At 40.8% G+C, this 25,307-nt stretch overlaps 1 protein-coding gene across 2 annotated transcripts in view, besides 1 other annotated feature; it reads right to left on the reverse strand.

The window, feature by feature from the left end:
- Nucleotides 1-401: 401 nt before the first annotated feature.
- The window catches only part of MPPED2 (metallophosphoesterase domain containing 2), a 202,912-nt gene continuing 178,006 nt past the window's right edge, over nucleotides 402-25,307 (reverse strand). Inside the window, exon 7 of one of the 2 annotated variants that reach the window (NM_001377956.1) lies at nucleotides 402-5,279. In NM_001377956.1, the coding sequence (NP_001364885.1) occupies nucleotides 5,212-5,279 (68 nt within the window). In that variant the 3' untranslated portion in view covers nucleotides 402-5,211. The remainder of the gene's footprint in view (nucleotides 5,280-25,307) is intronic. The other variant, NM_001145399.3, reaches the window with a different exon arrangement.
- Nucleotides 23,468-24,018: an enhancer, noted in NCBI's record as "NANOG-H3K4me1 hESC enhancer chr11:30428692-30429242 (GRCh37/hg19 assembly coordinates)". NCBI's record gives its function as "activates a minimal SCP1, AML or CMV promoter by ChIP-STARR-seq in primed H9 embryonic stem cells {active_cell/tissue: H9 hESC(primed)}" and the evidence as "EXISTENCE:reporter gene assay evidence [ECO:0000049][PMID:30033119]".

Genomic DNA, 25,307 nt, shown 5'->3' on the forward strand with positions numbered 1-25,307 from the left:
CCAATTGAATGTGGATTTTATGAGGGCAAGGGATTTTGTCTGTTTATGCCATGTCTGTTTTTCCCAGTGTAGAGTATGTGATCAATAAATATTTCTGTATAAATAAACAATACTTTATTCTAGATAGCTCTATTTTCTGGATAATTGACAGTTCACGTTTTAAAAATCTAAATGAGTTTATTGCTGAGACATGTAAAAGGCTTCCTTGCCTTTTAAAATAGAGCATATTGTCCATAATCTATTTATTTGGGGTACAAGATTAATACTTGGTTGTGTATTTTACTACCATGATTTTAGGAAACAAGCCATTTCAGTTTCTTTGCCCTTGCCCTAACTGACCTAGACATTCATTTAATTCTATTTGAATCCTTGAGTTTTCTGCCTTAAAAAAAAAGTGACAATTGATAGCATCAATTTTATTTCAGCAAACATCTACATTGAGTGCCTATTACATGCTAGATATCATGCTGATTACAAAAAACAAAGACACTCCCAATACACAGAGACATGTAATCTTATTTCCTTGATGTTAGTGCACAAGAATCTTTCTCACTTTGAATCTGCTTCTACTCTGTAATGTTATGTATTGAGTTCAGGAATCAATAACCAAGTTTGTTAGCAACATGTATAAAGTATGACAAAGCAGGTATGGAGAGAGGACCATTCCTATTAGTACTGTTAGGAAATTTTAAAATGTGGATTGAATAATACCTAGTTTGGTCTTTGAGGAGGATTTTTTTTAATTGCATTTGATTCTCAACCATGTTTAGGATACCCAAGTTCTTTTTTCTTTTTTCTTTTTTTTTTTTTTTTTTAGACAGAGTCTCGCTCTGTTGCCAGGCTGGAGTTCAGTGGCACGACCTCGGGGCTCACTGCTACCTCCGCCTCCAGGGTTCAAGAAATTCTCCTGCCTCAGTCTCCCGAGTAGCTGGGACTACCACGCCCAACTAATTTTTGTATTTTTAGTAGAGACGGGGTTTCACCATGTTGGCCAGGATGGTCTCGATCTCCTGACCTTGTGATCCACCCGCCTCGGCCTCCCAAAGTGCTGGGAGGCATGAGCCACCGCGCCTGGCCAGGATACCCAGGTTCTTTTAAAAGGAAGTATCACTCTATGTCCATATGACAAGATGAAACTGAGACTTGAAAGAATAAATCTCTTGTCCAAGATTGCATTGCTAGTTAGAAGCAGAGCCAGAACTAAATCTCACCTTTCTTGATTGCTAATTCCATATGCTTTCCACCAGACCACAAACTGACAAGAATTTGTCACAAAATGACAAGCCATACCAGTGTGCCCTGTATGTGCCTGTGTGTAATACTCCTAAAAGTTTTATAACATAGGGGGTGAGAGTCATTATTTCCTTTCCTACTAAGCAAGTACCCAATGTGAATTTGTTAAAGTCAAATCCTTTAAAAGCAAAGAATTGAGACAAAGTTTTGTAACGTGTGTGTAAGGGACAGGAACTTAGGGAAAACAGCCACAGACATGGAAGCCAATTCAAAGGATAATCAGGTGTCATCTCTTGCTTTTCTCAAATTGTAAGCTTTTACAGATTCTCAAGGTACTAGTTTAGGTGAAGCAAAACCCCTAAGCAGGTAGGGAATGCAATCAATGTCAATATGGTTTTACTTCAATGTGAACTTGTCCTGAACACATGCTTTTTCTGGTCTTGTTTATATTGCTTTCTAGGGGCTGGGTCTTTGTAGCTTCAGTTTCCTATTGGCTTGGCTTTCCAAATTTTCATGATGGGTGGGAGGGGGCATTTGTGTTGTCTGCTGCTGTGAGGGATCTTCATGCAAGCACACTGTTACTGAACACAGTCGCCAGATGGGCTTTTCCAACATATCAATCCAATCATGTCATTGACCACCCCCACCCCCGCCAAAAAACCTTCCACTGTCTTCTTATTGCAATTATAATGAAATCTTAACTCTCATCAAGGCCTGCAAGGATGTTGATGAGTTAGCACCTGCCTCATCCCCTATCTTTCTCCTTACCTCCTCTGTTCTCTGGCTATACTGGCCTTTTTGCTACCTTCTTATACAAAAAGCTCTGTACCTGCTATATTCTCTGCCTGAACACTTTTGTCCCAGGTCTTCAAGTGGCTGCCTCATCCACATCACTTAGACCTTTACTTACTGGGTTTTTTATCAGAAAGTTTCTCTGTTGTCACCCTCCTTAATGTCACTCACCCACTCCACCCTGCCATGCCAGCTAACTTCTATCCCATTTCTTATTTTCTTCATAGGGTTTATCAAAATTTGAGTTTTTTTAACTTATTTTCATTTTTTCTTCTTTCTTTCTCAATAGAAGATGAGTTGTAGAGGGGCCAGGACCCCTTCTTATTCATTGCTTCTGTTAGTCCATTTGCATTACTATAAAGGAATATCTGAGGCTGGGAAATTGATAATTAAAAGGGAAGCAGAGCATAAAAGTTTGGAAAATTCACAAACTGGTTGTGTGGTGGAGAAGGAAAGAACATTTTCAGGAGTGAAATATGAGCAGGCTGTGGAGCAACCACTTGCTAGACAGATTAGCATGGCTAAAGGGGAGCCAAGTGCTAATAACCAAGACAATGGGAAAAAGGCCTTGAAGGCATTTCAGAGATTTTCAAGGCCACCCCCCCATCACAGGCCTAGAGGCCTAGGAGAAAAGAATGGTTTGGGGGGCCACATTCAGGACCCCACTGCTCTGCACATCCTTGGGACACTGCTTCCTGCATCATGGCAGCTCCAATTCCAGTCTTGGCTCAAGGTATAGATTAGGGTGCTGCTTGAGAGGGTATAAGCTGTAAGCCTTGGCAGCTTCCACCAGGTGTTAGGCTTGCAGAACTGTGATTTAAATAAACCTCTTTTCTTTATAAAATACCCAGTCTCAGGGATTCCTTTATGGCAGCAAAAACAGACTAACACATGACTGTTTTCCCAGCACCTAGAACAGTGTCTAGCACAGAGCTGGGGTTCAGAATTTGGATCCCAAATAAATGAATGAACAGAACTCAAATCAGATGAACTTCAGTAACTCTTGTCGCTGCTTGTCCTGCCCTTGAATTCATTCACAACAGTCAAACCCTCCTGATTATGCTGGGTGCATAGTCCATGATTCTTGCCTTCACTCATATTAGTAGGATTATTATACAGGTCACACATAATAGCAATAGCAAAAGCAATAGTAGTAGTAGTAGTAATAATAATAGCCAACACTTATTAAGCATCTGCCAAATGTTGGGCATTGCACTTGCCTCATATATGCCTAACGTTTACCACAGTCCCGCAAAGTAAGCAATACAATCCATGGCTTGCAGATCAGAAAACAAGGCCACATAGTTAGTAGTGATGGAAGCAGATCTGAACCTGGGAGCATCTAACTGCACAGCGTGCACGCATATAAGCACAGCTGGATTTCAAAGCCACTATTATCTCAATACTACAATTAATTACTCTGAGCATCTAAGCCACTCTCTCATTAGTGAATCACACATAGACACAGTAAAAAACAAACGTCTACAGGGACCTCTGCTGTCAACAGGCACACAACATCCCCATGGCTGAAATGTGAACTCTGAATAATTCTATGACTAAGTTTTCCTAAAATCTGCAAGCAGATGCTGTGTGCTTGTCAGAATCTTTGAAAATTCCATTTTCAGAACGTTTCATTTCTTTGAAACATTCATTATGTTTCAGGCATATTCCCAGTCCCCCATATTCCTTTCAGCATGCTTATCAGTACTTATTGATAAATTCCTACTCTGAACAGATAGTCTGTCAGGGGCTGAGGATAAAGGAGACTGTCAGGGAGGGATAGGAAACGAGAGTAGCCTCAGTGCTGCTGACCACACGGGGTTGGAGAGACACCATCCCATGCTCTGCTCCCATCAGAAAAGGAACGGAGCAATGGGATCAGGGAGCATGTGGAGGTGGTCCCTAGAACACTCAACGTTAATGAATTTCATTTTGGGAGAAATATGTGGGAGCTTGGTAAGCATGCCAGCTTCTTTGAGGTTCTGTGGTGCATGATTCCATCTTCTTTTTTTGTTTATAGTGAACAGTCCCAGCAAAGCCCCATTTGCAACAGAAATTTCCATGGTCCCCCCCTCTCTCCAGGCCTCCACTCCACTGCATTCCACACTGTGACAGTGACAGCCCTAATAGCAAGTAAATACCCAGACCTGGCCCTTTTAGAGTTCAACAGTAGGGATCAGCAGGGGAGAGGCAGCCACATCGTGTCCTTGGCAGATGCCTGACGATGATGCTGGCTTTGTAGGAGGAAGGTGGGAGCTGGGGTGTGCCCAGCTGGAAGCCGCCCGTAATTTAATAATCGCAGATGGAGACTGAGGGTGATATGATACCCCCAGCTGTCTACCACTGCCGCCTTCAAGGCCCCCGTCGGCTGCCTGGGACTTGGGATGCTTTGGGAAGGGCCTGGTGCGGGTGGGGGCGGCCTAATAAAGCAGCTGGTCTATTAGAAGATAAGCTTTGTGGAGAATCACACAATCATCCTGAATCCCCCTAATCCTAAACTTTATTGCCCTAGATAATAAGCTTTGGTGGCGACGCTCCATTGAAATATGGAATTGTCTTCAGGCTGGAGGCACCTGCTGTGTCACTCAGCTCCAGGCCGGCAACTGCCGCACACAATTCAGGGGCAGGTGCACAGTGCCTGCCTTGGCTCCCGGAGGGAAGGGGGACAGTTAAGGGGGCCAGCCGCTCTCCCACAGAGGGCTCCAAACATTCTGTGCTGGGAAGGCCTGCCTTAGGCCTGAGAATGTTCTCTTTGTGGTTTGGGCATGAAGCTGTTTAGAGGACTTGGGAGAGAAGGAGCAGGAGGGACTGTTGGTAGGGGATGCCGAGGCTTAGAGAAGGAATCAGCTCTGTCTGCAGACCTGGGGTGGAGGGGGTCATCAGTGACTGATCTGTCTTTCCTTTTCTCCTACAACCCCTTCCTGCAGTGGCCCTTTATGCACTGGCCCCACCTCCCCAGTCTGTTTCCTCTTCCAGCAGAGCCCTCCTCCGCAGTCTTTCCTGTTGTCCACCAGGTGAGCTTCCCTGTCGCCTCCTCCTCATGCCTTCTTTGTCTTCACCAAGGAGAGGCATCTTCCTTCCTTCCTGTGTGCCTCTCTAGTTCTTGATTCATGCCAGGATTGTAGCTCACACAATGCTAATTCATCAGATCATCAATTAATTGTGTCTATGCCAGTTTCCTCTAGACTAGGAAGTTTTTGAAGGCAGAGAACATATTTTTGTCCTCAGTGCCTTGGAGATGCTCACAGGGTTTACTAAAGGGGAGAGAGAGAAAGAGAGAGGGAGAGAGAGAGAGAGATGAACATGACCTAAATTATTCAGTTTTCTCTCTGATGGTGTCTTGATTACCTTCCCATTCTCATAAACAACCCCTCAGCACCTCTCTAGAGGACCAACTGTGTTAGATTAAGTTCAGAGCAATCTTGGCTTTTAACAAGGCCCCTCCACCAAGCAGTTGCCTTGCAAAAGTGATTAATGAGTTTAGTGGCCTCTAGCGATGAAGCTGACCTCTTCCTCCAGCAGAGCCTTTTGACAGCTTAGACTGAATTCGGGAGCCTTGACTGAGGTTGGGTACATTCCCAACTACAAGAGATAGGATATGAGGTGGAACATAGTGTGTGTGGTCACCCGCAGAACCAAACTAAGAACTCCACTCAGGCAAAAGTGGCCAACCCTTATATTTGAAAATGATGCCCTGGGGATTGTCTATTCACTGAGGGTTAATATGAAATAGGAATTCTTTGTGGTCCTCCTGCTAAGCTGCTATGCCAGCTTTTGCTTCTATGTATTCATAAAATGTATGCTGGTGGTTATGATTCTGAAGGGCAGAAATTCAGGGACTCCCTGCTTCCTTTCCTCAGGTAGGATTTAGGTTTAAAATAATTCTCAGTTAACCAATGACAAATTTAATAATCCTGAATGGCTTCATTTACATATCCTATCATACACTGTGCCACCACAATCTTCTGCTTCTCTAGAAAATATGTTGTTACTTTTCTATTGTCACTCTGCCCAATTTGGTTGCCTTGACTCTGGATCAAGGAGTCTCTGAGAGGCTGAGGCAGGTGTTAGCCTTTTCAGAAACTGACTCAGGTAGATAGGGAGCCCTTAGTTTTTGGAACCTCACAGCTAATGTTCTCCCTAAAGACCAGATAACATAACACAGCAATAATTTGGGGCATCAGAGTACAAGTTAATGGTCAAATACACAGAGTTCCCAAGTCCATCAACACACAAAATACCCACAGCTACTCAATATCTTCATGGGCCCCAGATCACCTGCCTTTTAGGAAAAAAGCCTCTTATATCATCTATTCAAGAATAACAGTCCACATTAAATATATTTAGTATGTAAGTGTCGAAATGCAGGCATCTAACTAGCATTTCTTACATTTCACAGATATTCAACTAGATATTTACTAATTTTGATTCTCAGCTTCTTTTAAAATATGCCAGAAATATGAACTTCTAACTTCCCACTTGAGTTCAAATAACAAATTCAACAACACTTTTTGAGCACTGGCATGTAGAAGATAGTGATTGACTCCCCTCTAACAGTTTCTTTGTCTGATTTTGGGGTCTTTGCCAGAAGCCACAAAAATAGTAAGCCTCCACTCTCTTGAAATGTCAAATGTGTTTTTGTCCTTATTGACTGTTCTCACTGGTCTGTCTCTTTAAGGAAAAGTTACAGTACTTTTTCTAGGCCTCAAATGTTGACAGCCTAATAGTCTGGGTATCCACTTATGTTGGCCAAAGTATAAAAAAGCCCTGAAACCATCCTTTGGTCCCTGGAGGAGTTTATGGTAATGGAGGCCGGAGTCTGGAGAATATATCACTGCCATTGATTGCCCTGTGGCAGGCGCTGAAATATGTCAACCAAGAGTGCACCCTTATGCTGCTCTGAACTTCAAAGAAAGACTGTTTCGGTTAGCCTTTGCTGTGTAACAAAGTACCCCAAAACCTAGTGGCTTAAAACAACAACTTATTGTTATATCTTTTAGGATCCTTTGGTTTGGCTCCAAGGTTGCTGTGCCAGTTTTGCCTGGCAGCTGCATTCAGCTATAAGGTTAGCTGGGCCCAAAGGTTGAGATGGCTGCCCCTCTCACATGTTTGGCAGTGGTGCTACCTGTTGGCTAAGGCACCTCCCTTCCTTCCATGGGGCCTCTTATCTTCTAGTCAATGAGACCAGTTTCTTTGTATGGTGGTCTCAGGGCAGCATTCAAAGACGATGGAAGTGAACTGATCAAAGCAAGTCACACCACCAGCCCAGATTCAAAGGTGTGGAGAAATAGACTCTAGTCCCTGACAGGAGAGTGGCAAAATTATAGTGCACAGGGGCCTGGATCCTGGAATGGAAAAAATTTGCAGCCATTAAACAACGTACCACAACCAGGCCACAGATAGATTGCAGATCCCAGAAGTGAAGAGATGGAACTGTCTAGGGGCTTCAAAGAAGCTAGGGAATTGATTCTGAACTGCAGGCCCAGTGGCTTTGGGCCCCAACTCCCTTTATAAAGTGGCTTCCCTCTGGAGGGAAGCTCAGCAGCTTTTTTGCTGAATGGCCTAAAAGACAAAGGCTAATTGCTCTTTGGTGTGGTCATTTCAGTCTTTGTCTTGCACTGCTCATACACTCTGTACTTTGGACGTGATTGTAGACCAGCCCTCAGGTTCCTCATTGAGGAAATCTGGGCCAGGTACCTAACGTTATCAGTTGGTGGGGCAGGCAGTAGAAGCCATGGTCTCTGAATGAAACAGTTGGTGGGATAGTGGGCTCTCACATAAAATTGCTTGGGTTCGCATCCTGGCTCTACCACATATTGCCTGTGATATATGAACAAGAATTCTCTAAGCCTCAATTTCCTTCTCTGTAAAATGGAATGATTGTGTATGTTTCTAAATGTTTAATCATATGTGTACATGTGTGGATTCAATAAGATCATGTCATTTTGCTTCAATGTCTGGCATTTATTAAGTCTTAACTATTAGTTCTCATTATTTTCCAATCAACATAGAAGCCAAACTGAAAAGTGTTGTTTGAAATGAATTTCATAATATATATTTATAGAATCAAATATCAATTTAAAAATGGAAAAATTCAACCTCCCCAGTTACCTTCACATCTAAAGCCCCAACATTAGGCTTTAAATTAATGTGATTCAGGAAGTCACATGAAAAGGGTCTGCATTTTCTAGTCACACCAACCTGGATGCTAATCCTGGCTCTGCCAGTTACTAAGTGTGTAATCCAGAGCAAATTACCTCTCTAAGCCTCAGTTTCCTCATCTGCAATGGTACATATAATAGTAGTACATATAACTACTTCAAAGAAGTAGTTGTGAGAATTAAGGTAATTATGTAAAGCACCTGGTGTATGGTAGGTGTTCAAACTATACTATTTCTCTTCCTTCCACTTTGAATTTCTAACTTCCCACTTGAGTTCAAATAACAAATTCAACAACATTTTTGAACACTGGCATGTAGAAGATAGCGATTGACTCCCCTCTAATGGTTTCTTTGTTTGATTTTGGGGTCTTTGCCAGAAGCCACAAAAAGAATAAGCCTTCTCTCTCTTGAAATGTCAAATGCTTTTTTGTCCTTATTGACTGTTCTCACCGGTCTGTCTCTTTAAGGAAAAGGCCCTGAACAGGCTGCTTACCCCATTAATACTAAAGGCTGTGAGTTTTTCAGTTCCACTGAACTCTGTGTGACCTTCGCAGACAATAATTACTTTAACATAGGGTTAGGCAACAGCAACAAACTTGTCTGAAAATAAGCCAGGGCTTAAAATACAACTTAACCTGGGAGATTTAAGCAGGTAAAGAAGATGGCTTCTCTCCGGAATTGCTTCTTGATTAATCACCCCATCTGAGGTCGTTGGAAAAATGACAGTTTTCAAACAGGGCTTTAAATGTCTCCTGCTCTACTTTTCTACCCTGGCAGAAAGCCAGTCCCTGCAAGCCACTGGTTCTTAAAGGGGACGGGTTCCCTTGGATTTCCCTGAGCTGGAGCTCAGGAGCATGAGATAGTAATGGATAGACAGATGGGAGAGAGTGTTCATGCTCCCCACTTAAGGTTTGCTCACCTCCAAGATAGACTCAAGGAGCAGTCACTGAACCAGGAGGAAGGAAGCAGCAATATCTGAGGAAGAAGTGCCTATTTTAAAATGTGCTCAGGGTTTAAGGCAAAGTGTGTCCACTAGCTTCTTTCCAAACACTTTATCCGGTATCTTGCCTTCTATGCTTGGGTCCTGGCATTTTGTCAGCTTGGTTCAAGTCTTCCCTCTGTTCCTCTTGCTGGCCTCTTTCCATCCTAGGGTTCTTCCCAGCCACTACTTCCCTGAACATTCACTCCTTGTATTTGGGAACCTTCAATTTGTGCCCAATCTGGAGATCACCTCTCATCGACAGTTGTTTCTCTTTCTCAAATTAACTATGAGTCATGTGGGTCAGAGTCTTGCCTCTCCACCACACCTGCTGGGTACTCAGGACATCACTGGAAGCCCACAGCCAGTGTCCCACCCTCTGTGTCCTTCCTAATAGACAACCCTATCTCTGCTCTCACTACATCCTGGATACAGTCTCTAATAGACAACCCTATCTCTGCTCTCACTACATCCTGGACAGTCTCTGTGGTCTTTAGATGACTTTGGCTTTATCATCCAGGCCTAAAGCATGCCTCCAACTCAAAGGATTTTCAGACCAGAGTTCCATCTTGGCCTTGGGTAAGAGATTTTCCATAGAAAATTCCCTTCCCTTTATCTCAAACCAAATCAGCTCTGTCCAGGGATGGTTTGGCACAACCTCCTGCAATTTCCTATCCTGCTTACCTGAGTATGTATACCATCTGACATAGTATATAGTTACTATTTATTATAATATAACCTCCCAGGAGTTTTTGTTATGTTTAGAACTTCATCCTCTGTGCCTAAAACAATGTGAACACATAGGTAGTGCTCAATAAACATTTGCCCAATAAATAATAAACAAATTATATTTAAGGACTCCCAGAGTTCTGGGGTGTTATGCCTTGTTTATCATAAGTTAGAATGGCTTCTTGCTGGGATCATTTTTCAAAATATGTTTAATTTTATCCTGTTTTTAAAGTTAATGTACAGTTAATCTGACTTGTTTTTGGTGTGCAGTTCTGAGTTTTAACACAGTATAGATTTGTGTAGCCACTACCACAATCGGGATACAAAACAATTTTGTCAGCCCCAAAAACTCCCCTGTGCTGCTCTTTTGTAGTCATGCTTTGCCCCCATCCTAACCCCTGGCAACCACTGATCAGTATAGTTTTGTTTTCTTCAGAATATCATACAAGTGGAATATATCTTTTGAGACTGTCTTCTTTCACTCAGCATAATGTCTTTGCGATTCATCCAGGCTGTTGTGTGTACCAATAGTTTGTTCCTTTTTATTACCAAGTAGTATTCCACTTTATGGATGTGCAACTGTTTGTTTATCCCTTTACCTGCTGAAGGATATTTGGATTGTTTCAGTTTTTGGTGATTATAAGTAGAGATACTATAAGCATTTGTATGCAGGTTTTTGAGTGAACATGAGTCATCATCTCTCTAGGGTAAATATTCAGAAGTGAGATTGCTAGATCATCTGTAAATGTATCTTTAAATTCATGAGAAACTGCTAAGCTGTGTTCCAGGAGGCTCTACCATTTTTCATTTCTATAAGTAATGCATGGGGATTCCAGTTGCTCTGCATCCTTGTCAGCACTTGATATTATCAGGCTTTTTTTTAAATGGCCATTTTAATAGGGATGTAATGTTATCTCATTGTGGTTTTAATTTGCATTTTCTTAGTAGCTAATAAGGTCGGAAATCTTTTCTTATGCTTATTTGCCATCCACAGATCCTCTTTGGTTATGTGTTTATTCAACTTTTTACCCATTTTTAATTTGGTTGAATTTTAAGACTTCTTTATATATTCTAGCTACAAGATCTTTGTTTGATATGTGATGTGAAAATATTTTCTCCCACTCTGTAATTTGTATTTTTATTTTTTAAATAGCATACTTCACAGAGCAAGTTTTAAATTTCAATGAAGTTCAACTTACAAATTTTTTTCTATCAGGTATTGTATTATTGGTGTCATATGTAAGAACTCTACCTCATTCCAAGTTATGAATATTTTCTCCTGTTTTCTAGATTTATGCTTTACATTTAGATAATCCCTTTTGAGACAACTTACTTTTTTCTGCATGTGAAGTTAAATTGTTCAACACCATTTCTTTAAAAGACTGGACTTTCTTCTTTGAATTGTCTTTGCACCTTTTTCAAAAACCAATTCGTCATACTTGTGTGGCTTTATTTCTGGAATTTCTATTCTACTCCACTGCAGTATGTGTTTATCCCTTCACCAGTACCATAGTATCTTGATTAATGTGTATTTATCATAATTGTTCAAGTAGCATGAAGCCTCCAACTTTGTTTCTGAATCATTTTCTAACCACTATCATCCTGTGCTACAAAAGGAGAAGGAGAATGTGAAGAGAAAAATGGGCTTTTATTGAGTACTATGTGATAGCTAATGGACCATGGGGATTTACAGTATCATTTAGTTTTTAAAATAGTATATTCCAGGTCAGTACTATTTTCCCATTTTTGAAGATAAGATAACTGAACCCCAGATAATTTTAATAACATACCCAAGCCTACTTAGTTAATATAAGCCAGAGTTAGGACTCAATCCTAGGTCAGGTCAGGCTGACCCTCAAGTTCATAACCTTCCTACTACACAATGGTTCATGTCAACTCTTCTGGATTCTGGGGATATGGAGTAGACCTAAGAATACCTTGGATGCTCTGCATGGATTCAATTTTTCAAAAATCATTTATATTAGAAAGAAGCCTCTCATGAGTTCCCAAAGGATATTGTTCCCATGGTTGAGATGCAAACATATTCCTATTTATACAGTCTGAACAGACGGCTTAGTTTGGCCTCTTAAAAATACAGTGGTGAGTTAATAATCTAAGAGTAGATTGTCACACTGGCTACAGGAAGATAAATAATCAAGGATTATAAGTCTTTAATTTAATATAACTTATTCTCATTAATTAAATGCCAATTACCTGCTTGTCTTTCCTGGGAACTGGCCTTTGCAATCAATCTTTTCAGAAACGTTGTACACACATGTTCACGGAGGTATTAATATCACTCTCAAGATTTACAGGCACTGGACTCTTTGGCTTAAACCATCCTCAAACACTCTACACTGTAACCGCAGATAATCGTCATAAATTTCCTGATCTTTGACCTAACCGGTTCTTAAATTTCCATTCCCTAACGGGCTTGAGGAGATCGTATTTATCATACTGAGATGCTTGCTTTTAAGGACAACGCATTCCAGCAAGGCTCTGGATTTCAGATCTCTGATCCATCCTCCTACCTTGGGCTTTTGCTATTCACAACAGATGAGAATCCTTGGGGACTAAGAAAGGAACACTGTCCTCTGACTCCCCTGTGCAGGGACATAAAGCAAAATCATTCATTCATGGACAATATAACCTTGCAAAATATCTGGAGCAACTTGACCCCTCAGAAGCCTTTTGAATGCCCCACCTGCACTGATTTAAGCATTCAATGGCAGCAAATATCCACTGCTAAATATATTCCCACTCCAGCCTTTAGCAGCTGCCTGTATATACCTGCAGTTTTTCTTAAATTTCTTACCCTCTAGACTGCTTATTTCTTATGCTTAGACATAACTATACATTTTATGGTTGCTGTACATTTAAGTCTTGAAAGTTGTTGGTAGTTTGTGTTGCAGAACTGGTCTGGAATATGTGCCTTCTAATTCCATATTTCAGCTCAATGAAACAAGGAGAAAGAGAAGGAAACCAAATTTAATTAAGGAAAACCCAGGTTTACTTGCAAGCTCATAGTCACACCTTCCTACATCTGATCAGCTTCCACTCTTTTTTTCCCATAATTTCAATTTAGGTGCCTGAATAGAATTATCTCCATTTGAACCATGAGTTTGAATGCTCTTTTTTCAGTTTATTTTTAAAAATTAAAATAGTAATGCATACACATGCAAACTAGAATTCATAAAGTGTAGAAAAATAGAAAGGGAAAGTAAAATTCTTCCATTTCTTGTCCCAATCCTGGGGCAACTACTTTAGCAGCAATTAAAATTTACATGGTATGTTTATGCCTCAATTTCTGGATATATCAAATTAGGTAGTAACTAGTGATTCCCTGCAAAGAAAGACAAGACCACTAATATGCTCAATCTTCTATCTCTCTTCTTTATTCCTATATGTCACCCCTAATTTTTGTTAGGTATATTGTTATTGTCACATTTTCAAGGCTTATATTCTGTTCTGTAAGTGTAATTCAGTTTTAGTGCTTTGTATGTAAATTGTAACATTAAAAACCAACAATATTGTGGGTTGTGATTCAGAAAATATTATTTACTGTGAAATAAACTAATGTAATTAAGAGAAGTATAGAAGTTAAACCCTTAAAAGAGAAATTTCTAAGTTTCTCAAATGGATCCTCTTCCTTTTCTACCTTCTTTTCCATTTTCTGAGTCATACTTATCAGCCACTATTTCTTGTATGCTAGTTTGTTTTTCACTTTGGATCTTGTTATAAGTTTTCTGGAGCAACTCCTCTAGTAAATTTCATATGGAGTACACAGGTGGTAAGCATACTATAGTTCTTACATATTCAATAATGTATTTATTTTGCTGTTAAATTTGGTTGATATTCGTTGACTTCGTAATCATTAGGACTCAATTATCTAATTTTGGCGATACAAACTATAACATTGACTTAACTGTTTCACTGACTGCTCTAAGTTCATCGGATTGTTCTGAGATTCAAGGAAGATAAGTCATAAAACAACCACTGACATTCATAAAAGGTCTATATAAATGCTTGATAGTAGTAGCTCACATGTGTCAGGTACCATGCTAGGCAATTTACATTTGTTTTCTCACTGACTTCTTTCAACAATCCTGTAAGATCAGTACACTTATCACTCCCATTTTAATGATGAAGAAACAGGCTCCAAGAGATTAAGTAATTTGATCAATAAACACCTCACTAGCTAGTGGGGAGTAGAGTCTTGTCCTGCTGTTTTAACAAATCCCATGTTAAAAATATGATACTAAAAATGAAAGCTGTTTACCACCATTATCATCATCTGAGGTTCATTTTTTCAACCATGTACCCTGTGAACTGACAACCTTGTAATTAAAAATCAGTCTATTATGGGTCTTTAATGTAGACCAAACATCTTGCAAGATCTCTTAGCTTGACCAATTCCTTCCTTGACTTTGACCAATTCATTTCTCCAATTTGTAGGAAACAAAAGAAACTGGGATGGAGATTTGGTATTAAGTCATTATCCTTGCAGATAAACATGGTACTAATGATTCCTATCAGTACCTCAAGGGCTATGAATTATCACAGCTTTTTCTTCTTCCATAGCAGAGTTAAATTTGCCTCAATTCACTCATATTCTTTCAGCCAATCTCCACAGTCATGCTAATGAGTTACTAAGTGATAGGGCTGAAATTGTTTGGGACTGTGGATAAGAATAATGAATAATGAATAATGTTTATGAGATTCACCCTCAAAACTTGTCCTCATTAACACACTACTCTGACCCAAACTCTACCTACCCCACTCATTCCCATAAAGGGGTAGCTTTAGATCTCACCTTACTGGGGTTACCGTTTATTAGATCGGGGTGAACACATGACCTGGGGGTACCATTCATTCACTAGAAGAAAGCTGATCAGATGATTTTTTTACTAAGCTGATCAGATGGTCAGATGATTTTTTACTAAGAATCAGATAGAAGGTCCATGAACAACTACTGAGATTACATGAGGCTACTAAGTTGCCTGAAGATTCTTGGTTCTTTCCCTCTCTGGGCTTCTTGTTTCTTGAAATTTATTATGTCTGTATCCTGTAACAAACCTCTCTTTTATTGATCAAATTGGAGTAAGTTTTAGTTCCTTGCAATCAAACATCACCCAGCCAAGAGAAAGCTTTTAAACTTTCCTTAATATCAGAAAAAAACTCTCTGGAAGTACAAATATGCCAAAGTCCATCCAGTAAGGAGCATGAAATGGTATGTATCAGACTTGAAAGAGTTAACTTGCCAACCAAAAACTGAAAACTTGACTTCCTTCTCTTCAGTTGGGCCCAGGTTAATTTTGGTTGATGATAATGGTTATAAATGTTTTTTTATTTGAGAGGCATGGGACATACGTGATGAATGTGAGGACGATCATACATCTTATAAGGAGCTAATTGTTTGTGAAAGATGCTCCAAAAGTGACACACACAAGTCTGATATACCCTGGCGGCCAGCTCTTCTACAACAATTTCATTAAACCAACCACCATTACATGAAAACATAATGTGACAAAACAGATATTGTCCTCTTTGACCTTGGCAGGATATGGAAACATTAAAAAAAGATCCAATACTTTTTTTTTTAATAAACAACATTGTGAAGACCTAATCACCTTGCATACTAAATTCAAGCACAGGACTTATGAGTCAACCATTTTCTCATTAACACTGTTGTTAATTTTTCATGCTGCATCCAATTTTCTCCATGTCTCAGACAAACCACTTACTCTAATTTATTAGCCTAAGAATTGCCAAATTACAAAGGTAAGAAAAAAATATATGTTTCTCCTTTCCTCTAGAATTAAGACTTCCATCACAGAGAAATGGAATTCTTGATTCGAGAAATCATTTCTTCTAATCCTTTAAATTGGTATTTTATCAATACTCTGTCCTCTGGAATGTTGGCAGGCATCACACAGAGTAGAACGTAATGTACTGTTTTGTGTCTTTGTAAAAGTCATTTTGCATTTATCTTCAGAATTATTTTATCCTTTTATGAACAGATTAACATATTTACTCATGTGTAAATGGACAATGGGTGAAGATTAGAAAGGTTTCCTTTGTAGCAAAGACCTCATTCATGTAGAGTCTCAGTAAATAAATTCATAGAAATAGGTTGAATTACCAGCTAAAGTTTATAAACTGCAGATACCAAATTAAGGTCATAAACTCTAACCTTTAAGATTTTGTTTAAACAGAATAGATAAAACATATTGGGAGAAAATATATATATTACAAGGATATGTACATATTTAAACTTTTTAACATGTTTGTATCCATATATACTTTTTAAAAAAATACCAGTCTGACAGCAAAGACAGACTGAAACCTCAACACTGTATTTAAAACATTTAAAGTATTAAGCTTGTAGTAACATCTTTCACTGTAATTAGAGATAAGTATTTGTGGAGAGTCTATTTATTTATTTTTAACATTTTTTTAGGTGCAAGAAAGATTTTATGGCAGTCGAGAGATCAGGGTTATACAGCATATTACTTTTTAATTTCTTAGAGATAGGATCTTGCTCTGTCATCCAGGCTAGAGTAGAGTGGCACAATCAATTCACTGTAACCTCAAGCTCCTGCATCAGCCTCCTAATCAGCCTCCTGAGTAGCTAGGACTACAGGTTCCTGTCACCACATCCAGCTAATAAAAAAATATTTCTTTTTAGAGATGGGGGTTTTGCTATGTTGCCCAGGCTGGTCTTGAACTCCTGGCCTCAAGCAATCCTCCCACTCCTGCCTCCCAAAGCTTTGGGATTACAAATGTGGACCACTGCACCTGGCTCTATGGAGAGTATTTTAAGTGCCTTAATGGAATGAAAAGGAAAATACCCTAAAACTGTAGGAAAGTCTAGGATGTGTCCAAAGCTTCAGGATGATCAAGGCCCTAGCCATTCTTTATTATTTGGATGTCCATTCCAATATTACTTTGCAGATGTCAGTGTTAATATTAGCCAGACATGTCCTAAATCTTTGAAGACTAGAGCATGCACTCATTAACCTGTCATGAGACATCATCCAAAGAGTGAAAAGTTTAAAAGGACTGAAACTTTAATTCCCAAAATTTAACATTAGCCAGACTTCTCTGGCTTATAGACATGTACTCCAAACTACATCATTCAAGATCAATTACTTACCATTCATTTCTTTTTCCAATACATATCATCAAACATTTTTTTTTTTTTTTAGATATAGCATCTTGCTCTGTCACCCAGCCAGGAGTGCAGTGGCACAATCATGGCTCACTGCAGCCTCAACCTACCAGGCTCAAGCAATCTTCAATCTTCTTGCCTCAGCCTCCTGAGTAGCTGGGACTACAGGTGCATGCCACGACCCTCAGCTAATTTTTTTGATTTTTAGTAGAGACAAGGTCTTGCCAGGTTGCCCAGGCTGGTCTAGAATTCCTGAGCTCAAGTGATCTTCCTGCCTCAGCTTCCCACAGTGCTGGGATTACAGGTGTGAACTACTGTGCCTGGCTAAACAATTATAAATGAATTTACTGATACCTTTTTCCTGTTTATACATATCATGTCCCCCAAAAAGTGTTATAAAAATAGTTTGGTTTTCGAAAAATCAGTAGAGAAGATTGTGACTGTGTGTTATAGGATAGCAGATGGAGAAAACAGAACAGCACCACTGATTTTCATTCCCATCACTTGGAAAGAAACAGGCTTATTTGCCCTGGTGCTGTGGTTAAGGCTAGTAGTTAAGGCTTTGGTTGGGTTCTCTCTTTGGCCTAACTCTGGACTGAATCTTATGCTAAGTAAAGTGCCCAGCACAGGAGGGCCTTATGATATCATTTACCTGTTGCATGGCTGAGAAGATACAGATGTCCAGTGCTGACCTCAATCTAACTTCCTTTAAGTGCAAGTCACTGGACACTAAAAGCACATGAAAAGATATGTACTGGGTGTGCCATCACACTTCTGAGCCTCATCCCTAGAATAGGGCTAAAACCGAATATTTTTACCTTTCTCTGGGTAGCAGAAGCATTTTCTTACAAACTAAAGGAACTATATCCATAGATTCAACTGAAAGAAGGTCAATTGTAATTTTTCAAAATTTTCTGATGAAAGGGAACTACATAAGATTTTTTTGTTTGTTTGAGACGGAGTCTCGCTCTGTCACCCAGCACCCAGGCTGGAGTGCAGTGGCACAATCTCAGCTCACTGCAAGCTCCATCTCTCAGGTTCACACCATTCTCCTGCCTCAGCCTCCTGAGTAGCTGGGACTACAGGCACCCGCTACCATGGCCAGCTAATTTTTTGTATTTTTTTTTTTTTCTTTTAGTAGAGACAGGGTTTCACCGTGTTAGCCAGGATGGTCTCGATCTCCTGACCTCGTGATCCGCCTGCCTCGGCCTCCCAAAGTGCTGGGATTACAGACGTGAGCCACCGCCCCCGGCCTACATAAGATTTTTAGAAGGGCTAACGTATACCTCCTTTCAGAATTGCCTCTAGGTCAGCAATAATTATTTGGGGGGTTATGGAAGGAGAATGTCTCTACTGAATTGCTTTTAACATTGGTCCAAAGTGGTGGTGATGAAGGGGTTCTTTAAATAGCTTTGAGAATGCTGAGCTTTAAAAACAGTGGGTGATGTCCTCAGCATCCCAGCCAAGCTATTCACTGCAAATACTACGAACAACTGCAGCGCTACTGGCCTGGATATAAATATTCATATCAATAAATTGAATACTGCTGAATCCACAAGTATAGCAAGAATAACCTGCATATTGTCACTTCGCTGGAGATACGTGATTTATTTCTTGAGAAAAGTCTTCTTTGAGAGTAACATCCTCACAAAAGTCTCTTATGTGCCATTGTGTTGGAAAAGCCCATCACAGACAGATTGTGATGAGAAGTCCAGCTCTCCTGGTCCCCCATAAAAGCTAGCAGACCTCACATTAATAAAACAACCAGGCTACTCACCTGTCCTGAGATCAGAGAGACAAATCTATTAATTTATAATTTTGAGAAAGATAGTGATCAAAAGATGTACAGAAGTCATACATATTGACCTGGGAAATCTAAAGGTTCATTCAGTTTTGGGTCAGGACCATTTTCTCCTTCCTATTCCCATTCTCCCACCCCCATCTTAGCTTTTTATTAAGTAAACTTCTTTGCATAATCTCTGAACTCAAACACATTTTATTGTTATTCCTGGATGCTGTACTCATGGATATCTCACTTCTTTGGGAAAATGACCTATTAAATAAAAACGTGAGAAGTACAATGCCAACTTACCACAGTTTCTGAATCTCAGAACACAGATTCCATTCATAAGATGTGAAACCAACATATTGCTTCCACTGCAGCTTACGATTAGCTCTGGATTTTTAATTTTGGTTATTCAGCCCATTAGAAAACAATGTAGGCCGGGCGCAGTGGCTCATGCCTGTATTCCCAGCACTTCGGGAGGCCGAGGCAGGCAGATCACAAGGTCAGGAGATCGAGACCATCCTGGCTAACATGGTGAAACCCTGCCTCTACTAAAAATACAAAAAAAATTAGCCGGGCATGGTGGCGGGCAGCTGTAGTCCCAGCTACTCGCGAGGATGAGGCAGGAGAATGGCGTGAACCCGGGAGGCGGAGCTTGCCGTGAGCCGAGATCGCGCCACTGCACTCCAGCCTGGGCGACAGAGCGAGACTCCGTCTCAAAAAAAAAAAAAAGAAAAGAAAACAATGTAGGAAGTTGTTATCCTTTGTACACCTTATTTCAATTTCGCTGGTACTCAGAAATATAGCCAGTCACAGGAAAGAATTAATATATTAGACATAGCATCATTGAGGTAGATACACACATACATTCACCGAAAATACTTTAATGCAGAAACAATGTGTGATGAGTATTGTTATTTTTCTTGTTCCTACAGAATTGATTTCAACAAATTTTCTTAGGTGAAACCTTCCAAGTTACATGTTTCAGCTGTTTGAAACAAGAACTAAGGAGGCAAATATAGTATTTCAAACCTCATCACAATTTATTAATGCTACAGAGAGGAATACTGTGTTTAATGTCCCAGGATCTCTATGCCATTTGATGCTTCAAATCTTTTATCTTCATTATCACCATCGTCTAATGAAACAAAAGGTATGTGGAGTGGCCCCTTCTGTTATTTGAGACAGTAGTAGATCCTAAAGATGCCATACTTCGGCTTCTCTCAAGGAATTTTCAGCTGGTAAGAATTACCTTGATGTTCCTATTTATTTTCCATTTCTGATCTACTACTATGCAAAACTCACAGGAAGAAAGGGCTATATGTCTTCAGCATGGGGAGATGGAGTTCAAGGAAGTGAGATGAATTAGAAAAGGAAAAGAAAATGCACTCAGATATGTAGTACCCTTTCTCTTCCTGTTATGAGTTCCAGAGAGCTCATGAGGGAATCTCATTGCTTGTTCAAATGCCCACTCATAGCCAAAGGCCAAAGCCCTGGTTTTCATTTCTCATCATCCAACCCTAGTAGCCATACCCAGAAGAATACAAGGTCTTGCATCCAGGAGTTATATACCACCATGGAGACCTGGCCTAGCTTCCCAGGAAACACTGGTCAGGAGGATACCATTATAGCCCAGACCAAAGTCACCCTTCAATACAAGTTGAGAGATGCACAAAGAAATAAGTGCTCAGGGCAGTATTTCTCCAGAGAGCTATTTTGGATTCCACATAAGAGTAATGGTGGCCTTGGATAAATCATTCCTCTCATTTATGTGCTGAATGGGAGAAAACGAGTCAACAACTGATGCATGCAAAAGCATTTGGAGGTGATGGATGGAGACATTATGGTGCATTTCGTCAATGGCATGCCATTAGAGAAAACCATTTCATAGAGTAAATTAAAAAACAAACCAGCTACGTGACACACTTGGAATTGCCACTGGCCATGTGGGTTTTTCTCCTTCAGGAATGAAGCTACTTGGGATTGACACTGCCATTAGCAGGCAGACTCCCTTTCCTAGGCTAGCTGCCTGTGCTTGTCTGAGTTTTATGCCACACCTCGCACGTCCCCATATCTATGGCCACTCATGTAACTGGAGAAACCTGTGTATTCCAGACCCCAACTTTCTTTTATTGTTGTCTTAACTATTATTTACATCTTTTATTACCATTTACCTTCATGTGTCAATATCTTGTTTTCTTCATCTAGTTATAAAGACTCTTTCATGGTAAATACTGGGTCTTACAAATGAAGCTTACTAGCACAGCACCTGGCTTATGGTGTTCAGTAAATATTTGTTGATTTCATCTGTGATTGATTTTGCCTATTTTTCTCGCATACCTAGCTGTTATTTGCCAAATAGTGATTAATTCATTAAGAAGGTGTTTCTTCAGACCTAGATGCTGGGAATGCAGATAGAAGGCATGGTCTCTGACCTTGGGGAGCTCATATGCAGACACGCAACAATCAGAACGTGGCACAGCTGGACGTATATGTGGGAGGCTATGGCAGCACCAAAGGGGGGTGTTCTGGGTCAAGGTAGGTTGGGGGATCCAGAAAAGGCTTCCAGAAAATAGGAGTTCCTTTTAGGATTATGTAGTTGCTACCTAAACATGATAGCCCATTTATACAAAAGGCATGGTGGTGAGCCCATGCAAACAGGGAGCATTTGGGTTCAAGTCATTTGTGATTTCAGGATCTTCAACTGAAAAGCTCAACCTATTCCCAAAGTCATCAACTAAGGTTGGGACAGAAATGGGCTATGAAATCACAGGCCCTTTCCCCATGGCAAGCAGGCTCTGGGAGTGTTCAGATGCACCTCATGGTAACTATGGCTTCATAAAAATCAAAGCTGATTGATGGGAGGAGGCTCTCTGTGTTCATGTGTTTAGTCTACCCATGCTTTTAGTTCCACTGTGGCTGTGCTTCCTAATGGAAATGCATTTCTCTCTCTCACCATTATCCAGATATAGATGCTGTCAGATATGAAAGAGCCTTTTCACCTCAAGATTTTTGTCTTGTAAGGCAACCCTAATTCAGGAAGGAAATGAGGAGGAGTCGACAAAAACCCACCACAAATGTTTTGTCAGATAGTTCAGAGAGAGAGAAAGTTAAAGAACTCATTTTCTGTATGGTTTCTTACACAGTCCAGTTCAAGGAATTAGCTTTCTCTCGTGACGGGCTGTGGCCATCAGAAAATAATATACATTTTTATTTTTGCCCTCTGCCCCTGCCTTTTTTTCTTTTTTTTCTCTTTAGGAAATTACAATTGACAGAATAAAAATCCTCCACCCAGGGTCCTGTCGATATTAATGTATCAATTCTGACAAATCCACTGTGAGATGGGAATGATTCCTTTTCTACAAGTGTGGAATCTGAGGCTGAGAGAAATAAAAGAGCACATCCAAGGCTACCCAGCATGTCTGATTCCAAAGTTGGGGGCTCTTACCAACACCCAACAGCTTCCAGACCTGACATACACATGTATGTCAAAACGCATGACAAACAGCCATCATGTTCTGAGGTAGAAAAGGTAGAAACTGAGCACCCATCTCTCTTGTAGAAGGAGGAATTGGAAGCCTATTGGAATTGTTGCAGGTGGACGGGTTGAAGAAAAGGAAAATGAATCCTCATGGGAACATTCATGGGAAACCTCAGATTCTGAGGTTTCTTTCAAATAATCTTGTTTTCTCTTCACAGATTGGCAGCTGGTCCTGTGCTACAAAATCACACTATGTCAGGCCAAAACTGATCTCTCCATCTTTGATTATTTCTGAATGTCAAGCTGAAAAATCAGTTCATGCTCAAAATGGAATGTCCAAATGCCAAAGTGGGGCATTATCTTTGAATTGCTCTGTGACCATGGTGATACCACTGATCCTCTCTGAACCTCTCCTGATCTCCAGAGGCTGACTTTACTGGGGCACCAGGGAAGATTGGAGCTTCTTAGGGAGTTTTCTGAATCAGTGTTTTTCTCTCCCATGGAAAAGCAAAGTAAGAGGAGGAAGGTAGAGGGGACACTTAGAAAAGGGAGGGAAAAGTAGCTCTAAACTTCTGGAAGAGCCATGCTAGAAGGCCGACACATCCTGCTATTGAATGCAAGATAGGAGAAAACAAAATAAAACAAACAAACAAACACAGAAGCAAACAACAACAAAAATGTTTTGTGCTAAGAACCTGACATCCAGAAGTGGTCCTGGGGCCTTCCGTGAAACCACACATTAGGACCATCCCATCCTGGAACCTTCCCCACAAGCAATTGTTCCTACCCCATACCTAGCAGTGTTTCCAAATGCCTCACCTCATGGCCAAATCCTTAAAAGTAGATCTTAATTCACTTTTGTTTAATAATTACACAGAAAGCATCTTAAAACTTTCAGGAAAGTGGGAATAGAGCATGAAAAGAGACTAGGAAGCAAAATAATATCTGGATGTTGATTCTGCCAAAGCTGCACATCCTTGCTGGATGAGAGTGGGGAATGGGGCATTATTCTGAGACACAGCAAGTGTTTTATCTGCAATTGACAAATCCCAAATCCTCCCAGCTTCCGTTTCTCCCTACTTAAGACCTAGGTCACGGTATTTATTTACTTAAATGATGGAGATGAAGGCAGGCTTAAGGCTGGCCACCTGTCAGAATAACAGTGACCTGTTTCTAAAGGGATTTCAGCAACCTCCCAACATAAGACAAAAGGGGATTGTGTGAAAAACAGAAAAGAATTCACTAATTGCACTAAAAGTGGATGGTGAGGTGGAGAGGAAAGATTGCAAGGGCAGAGAGATGCTGTGAGAAATAAGCAGATCTGTGGGTGCCCTTCTAAGCAACTTGAAAGAGGAGAAACCCCCTCCTCTTTGGAGATTAGAAGTGATTTTGCAAAGAATGATAGCCAAACTGGGAAGTTAGGCTCCCTTATCCGCCTCCCACTAATGCCCTTGGGCTTCTTCCTATCCTTATGAAGAGAGGCTTGTTACGGTTCCTAAGCAATGCAAACAAACTTTCTCAGAAACAATACCGCTGCTGCTTTCGAGGTTGGAGAGTCAACAGACAGAACCCTGACTGAAGGCCAGGGACGGTGGCTCAGGCCAGTAATCCCAGAACTTTGGGAGGCCGAGGCAGGCGGGTCACCTGAGCTCAGGAGCTGGAGACTGTCCTGGGCAACATGGGGAAATCCTGTCTCTACAAAAATTACAAAATTAGCTGGGCGCGGTGGCACGAGCCTGCAGTCGCAGCTACTCAGGAGGCTAAGGCAGGAGAATTGCTTGAGCCCAGAAGGCGGAGGTTGCAGTGAGCTGGGATTGCACCGCTGCACTCCAGACTGGGTGGCAAAGCGAGACTCTGTCAAATAAATAAGTAAATAAATAAATAAATAAATAAGTAAATAAAATTAAATATATTTTTTTAAAAAGGTACAGAATCCTGCCTGGGGAATCTAAAGACAAAGCATGGGTGACCTTATTTAACAAATACATGTGCACCACTTACTAGATGTCAGACAGTGATCTCCAACAATGAACTCATATGGCACTTAGAACAACTTCCTCCTCCTCATCACCCCCGTTTTACATAGAAAGTGAGTACCCAGGCAAAGAAATCAGCACTAGTCCGAGGTGGGGCCAGTATGTGGGCAGCCACACTGTCCCAAGGGTCAGTGCTCTTATCCCCTGTGCTGTGCTGGGCCTCAGCTGAGAGGATGAGGTGCCATGTACGGCTGTCAAAGAGCCACATTGCAGGGTGTTTCAGCGAGCTGCTACTTGAGGGATAGGATATATCCCCAGGCTTGTGCCAGTCTCTCTTTTTTTTCTGACAGAGTTTTGCTCATCTCCCAGGCTGGAGTGCAATGGCACTCTCTCGGCGCTCACTGCAACCTCTGCCTCCTGGGTTCAAGTGATTCTCCTACCTCAGCCTTAGGAGTAGCTGGGATTACAGGCATGTGCCACCACGCCCAGCTAATTTTTGTATTTTTAGTAGAGACGGGGTTTCACCATGTTGGTCAGGATGGTCTCAATCTCTTGACCTTGTGATCCGCCCGCCTCAGCCTCCCAAAGTGCTGGGATTACAGGTGTGAGCCACCGTGCCTGTCTTATATCAGCTCTCAGAGGGCATCCATCAACTTATCCAGTCCAGACAAAGAATGATTAAAAGGGCATGGGCTATGGACAGATCTGCTTTTGAACCTTCCATTTTTCCTAGGGAAAGTTATTTAATTTTGGTACATCTTACTTTCCTATCTGTAAAGCGAGGCTTATGTGACCTTACGCAGGATTCTGTGAAGATTAGTAACAAAATACACAACCTGTTCAACAGGGTGCCTGGTGATGGACGGATAGGAAGTGCCCAATTTGTAAGAGCTGTTTTGAATATTTTGTTGTTGTAAGGCCCAGTGTAGAAAGCTCTGGGCATCTGGACAGTGCTTACAAATCCCTCAGAGGCAGCTCGTGCATATGAAATGGTGGACT

Source organism: Homo sapiens, chromosome 11 (assembly GCF_000001405.40).
Source record: "Homo sapiens chromosome 11, GRCh38.p14 Primary Assembly".
In the NCBI taxonomy this organism is placed as follows: domain Eukaryota; kingdom Metazoa; phylum Chordata; class Mammalia; order Primates; family Hominidae; genus Homo; species Homo sapiens.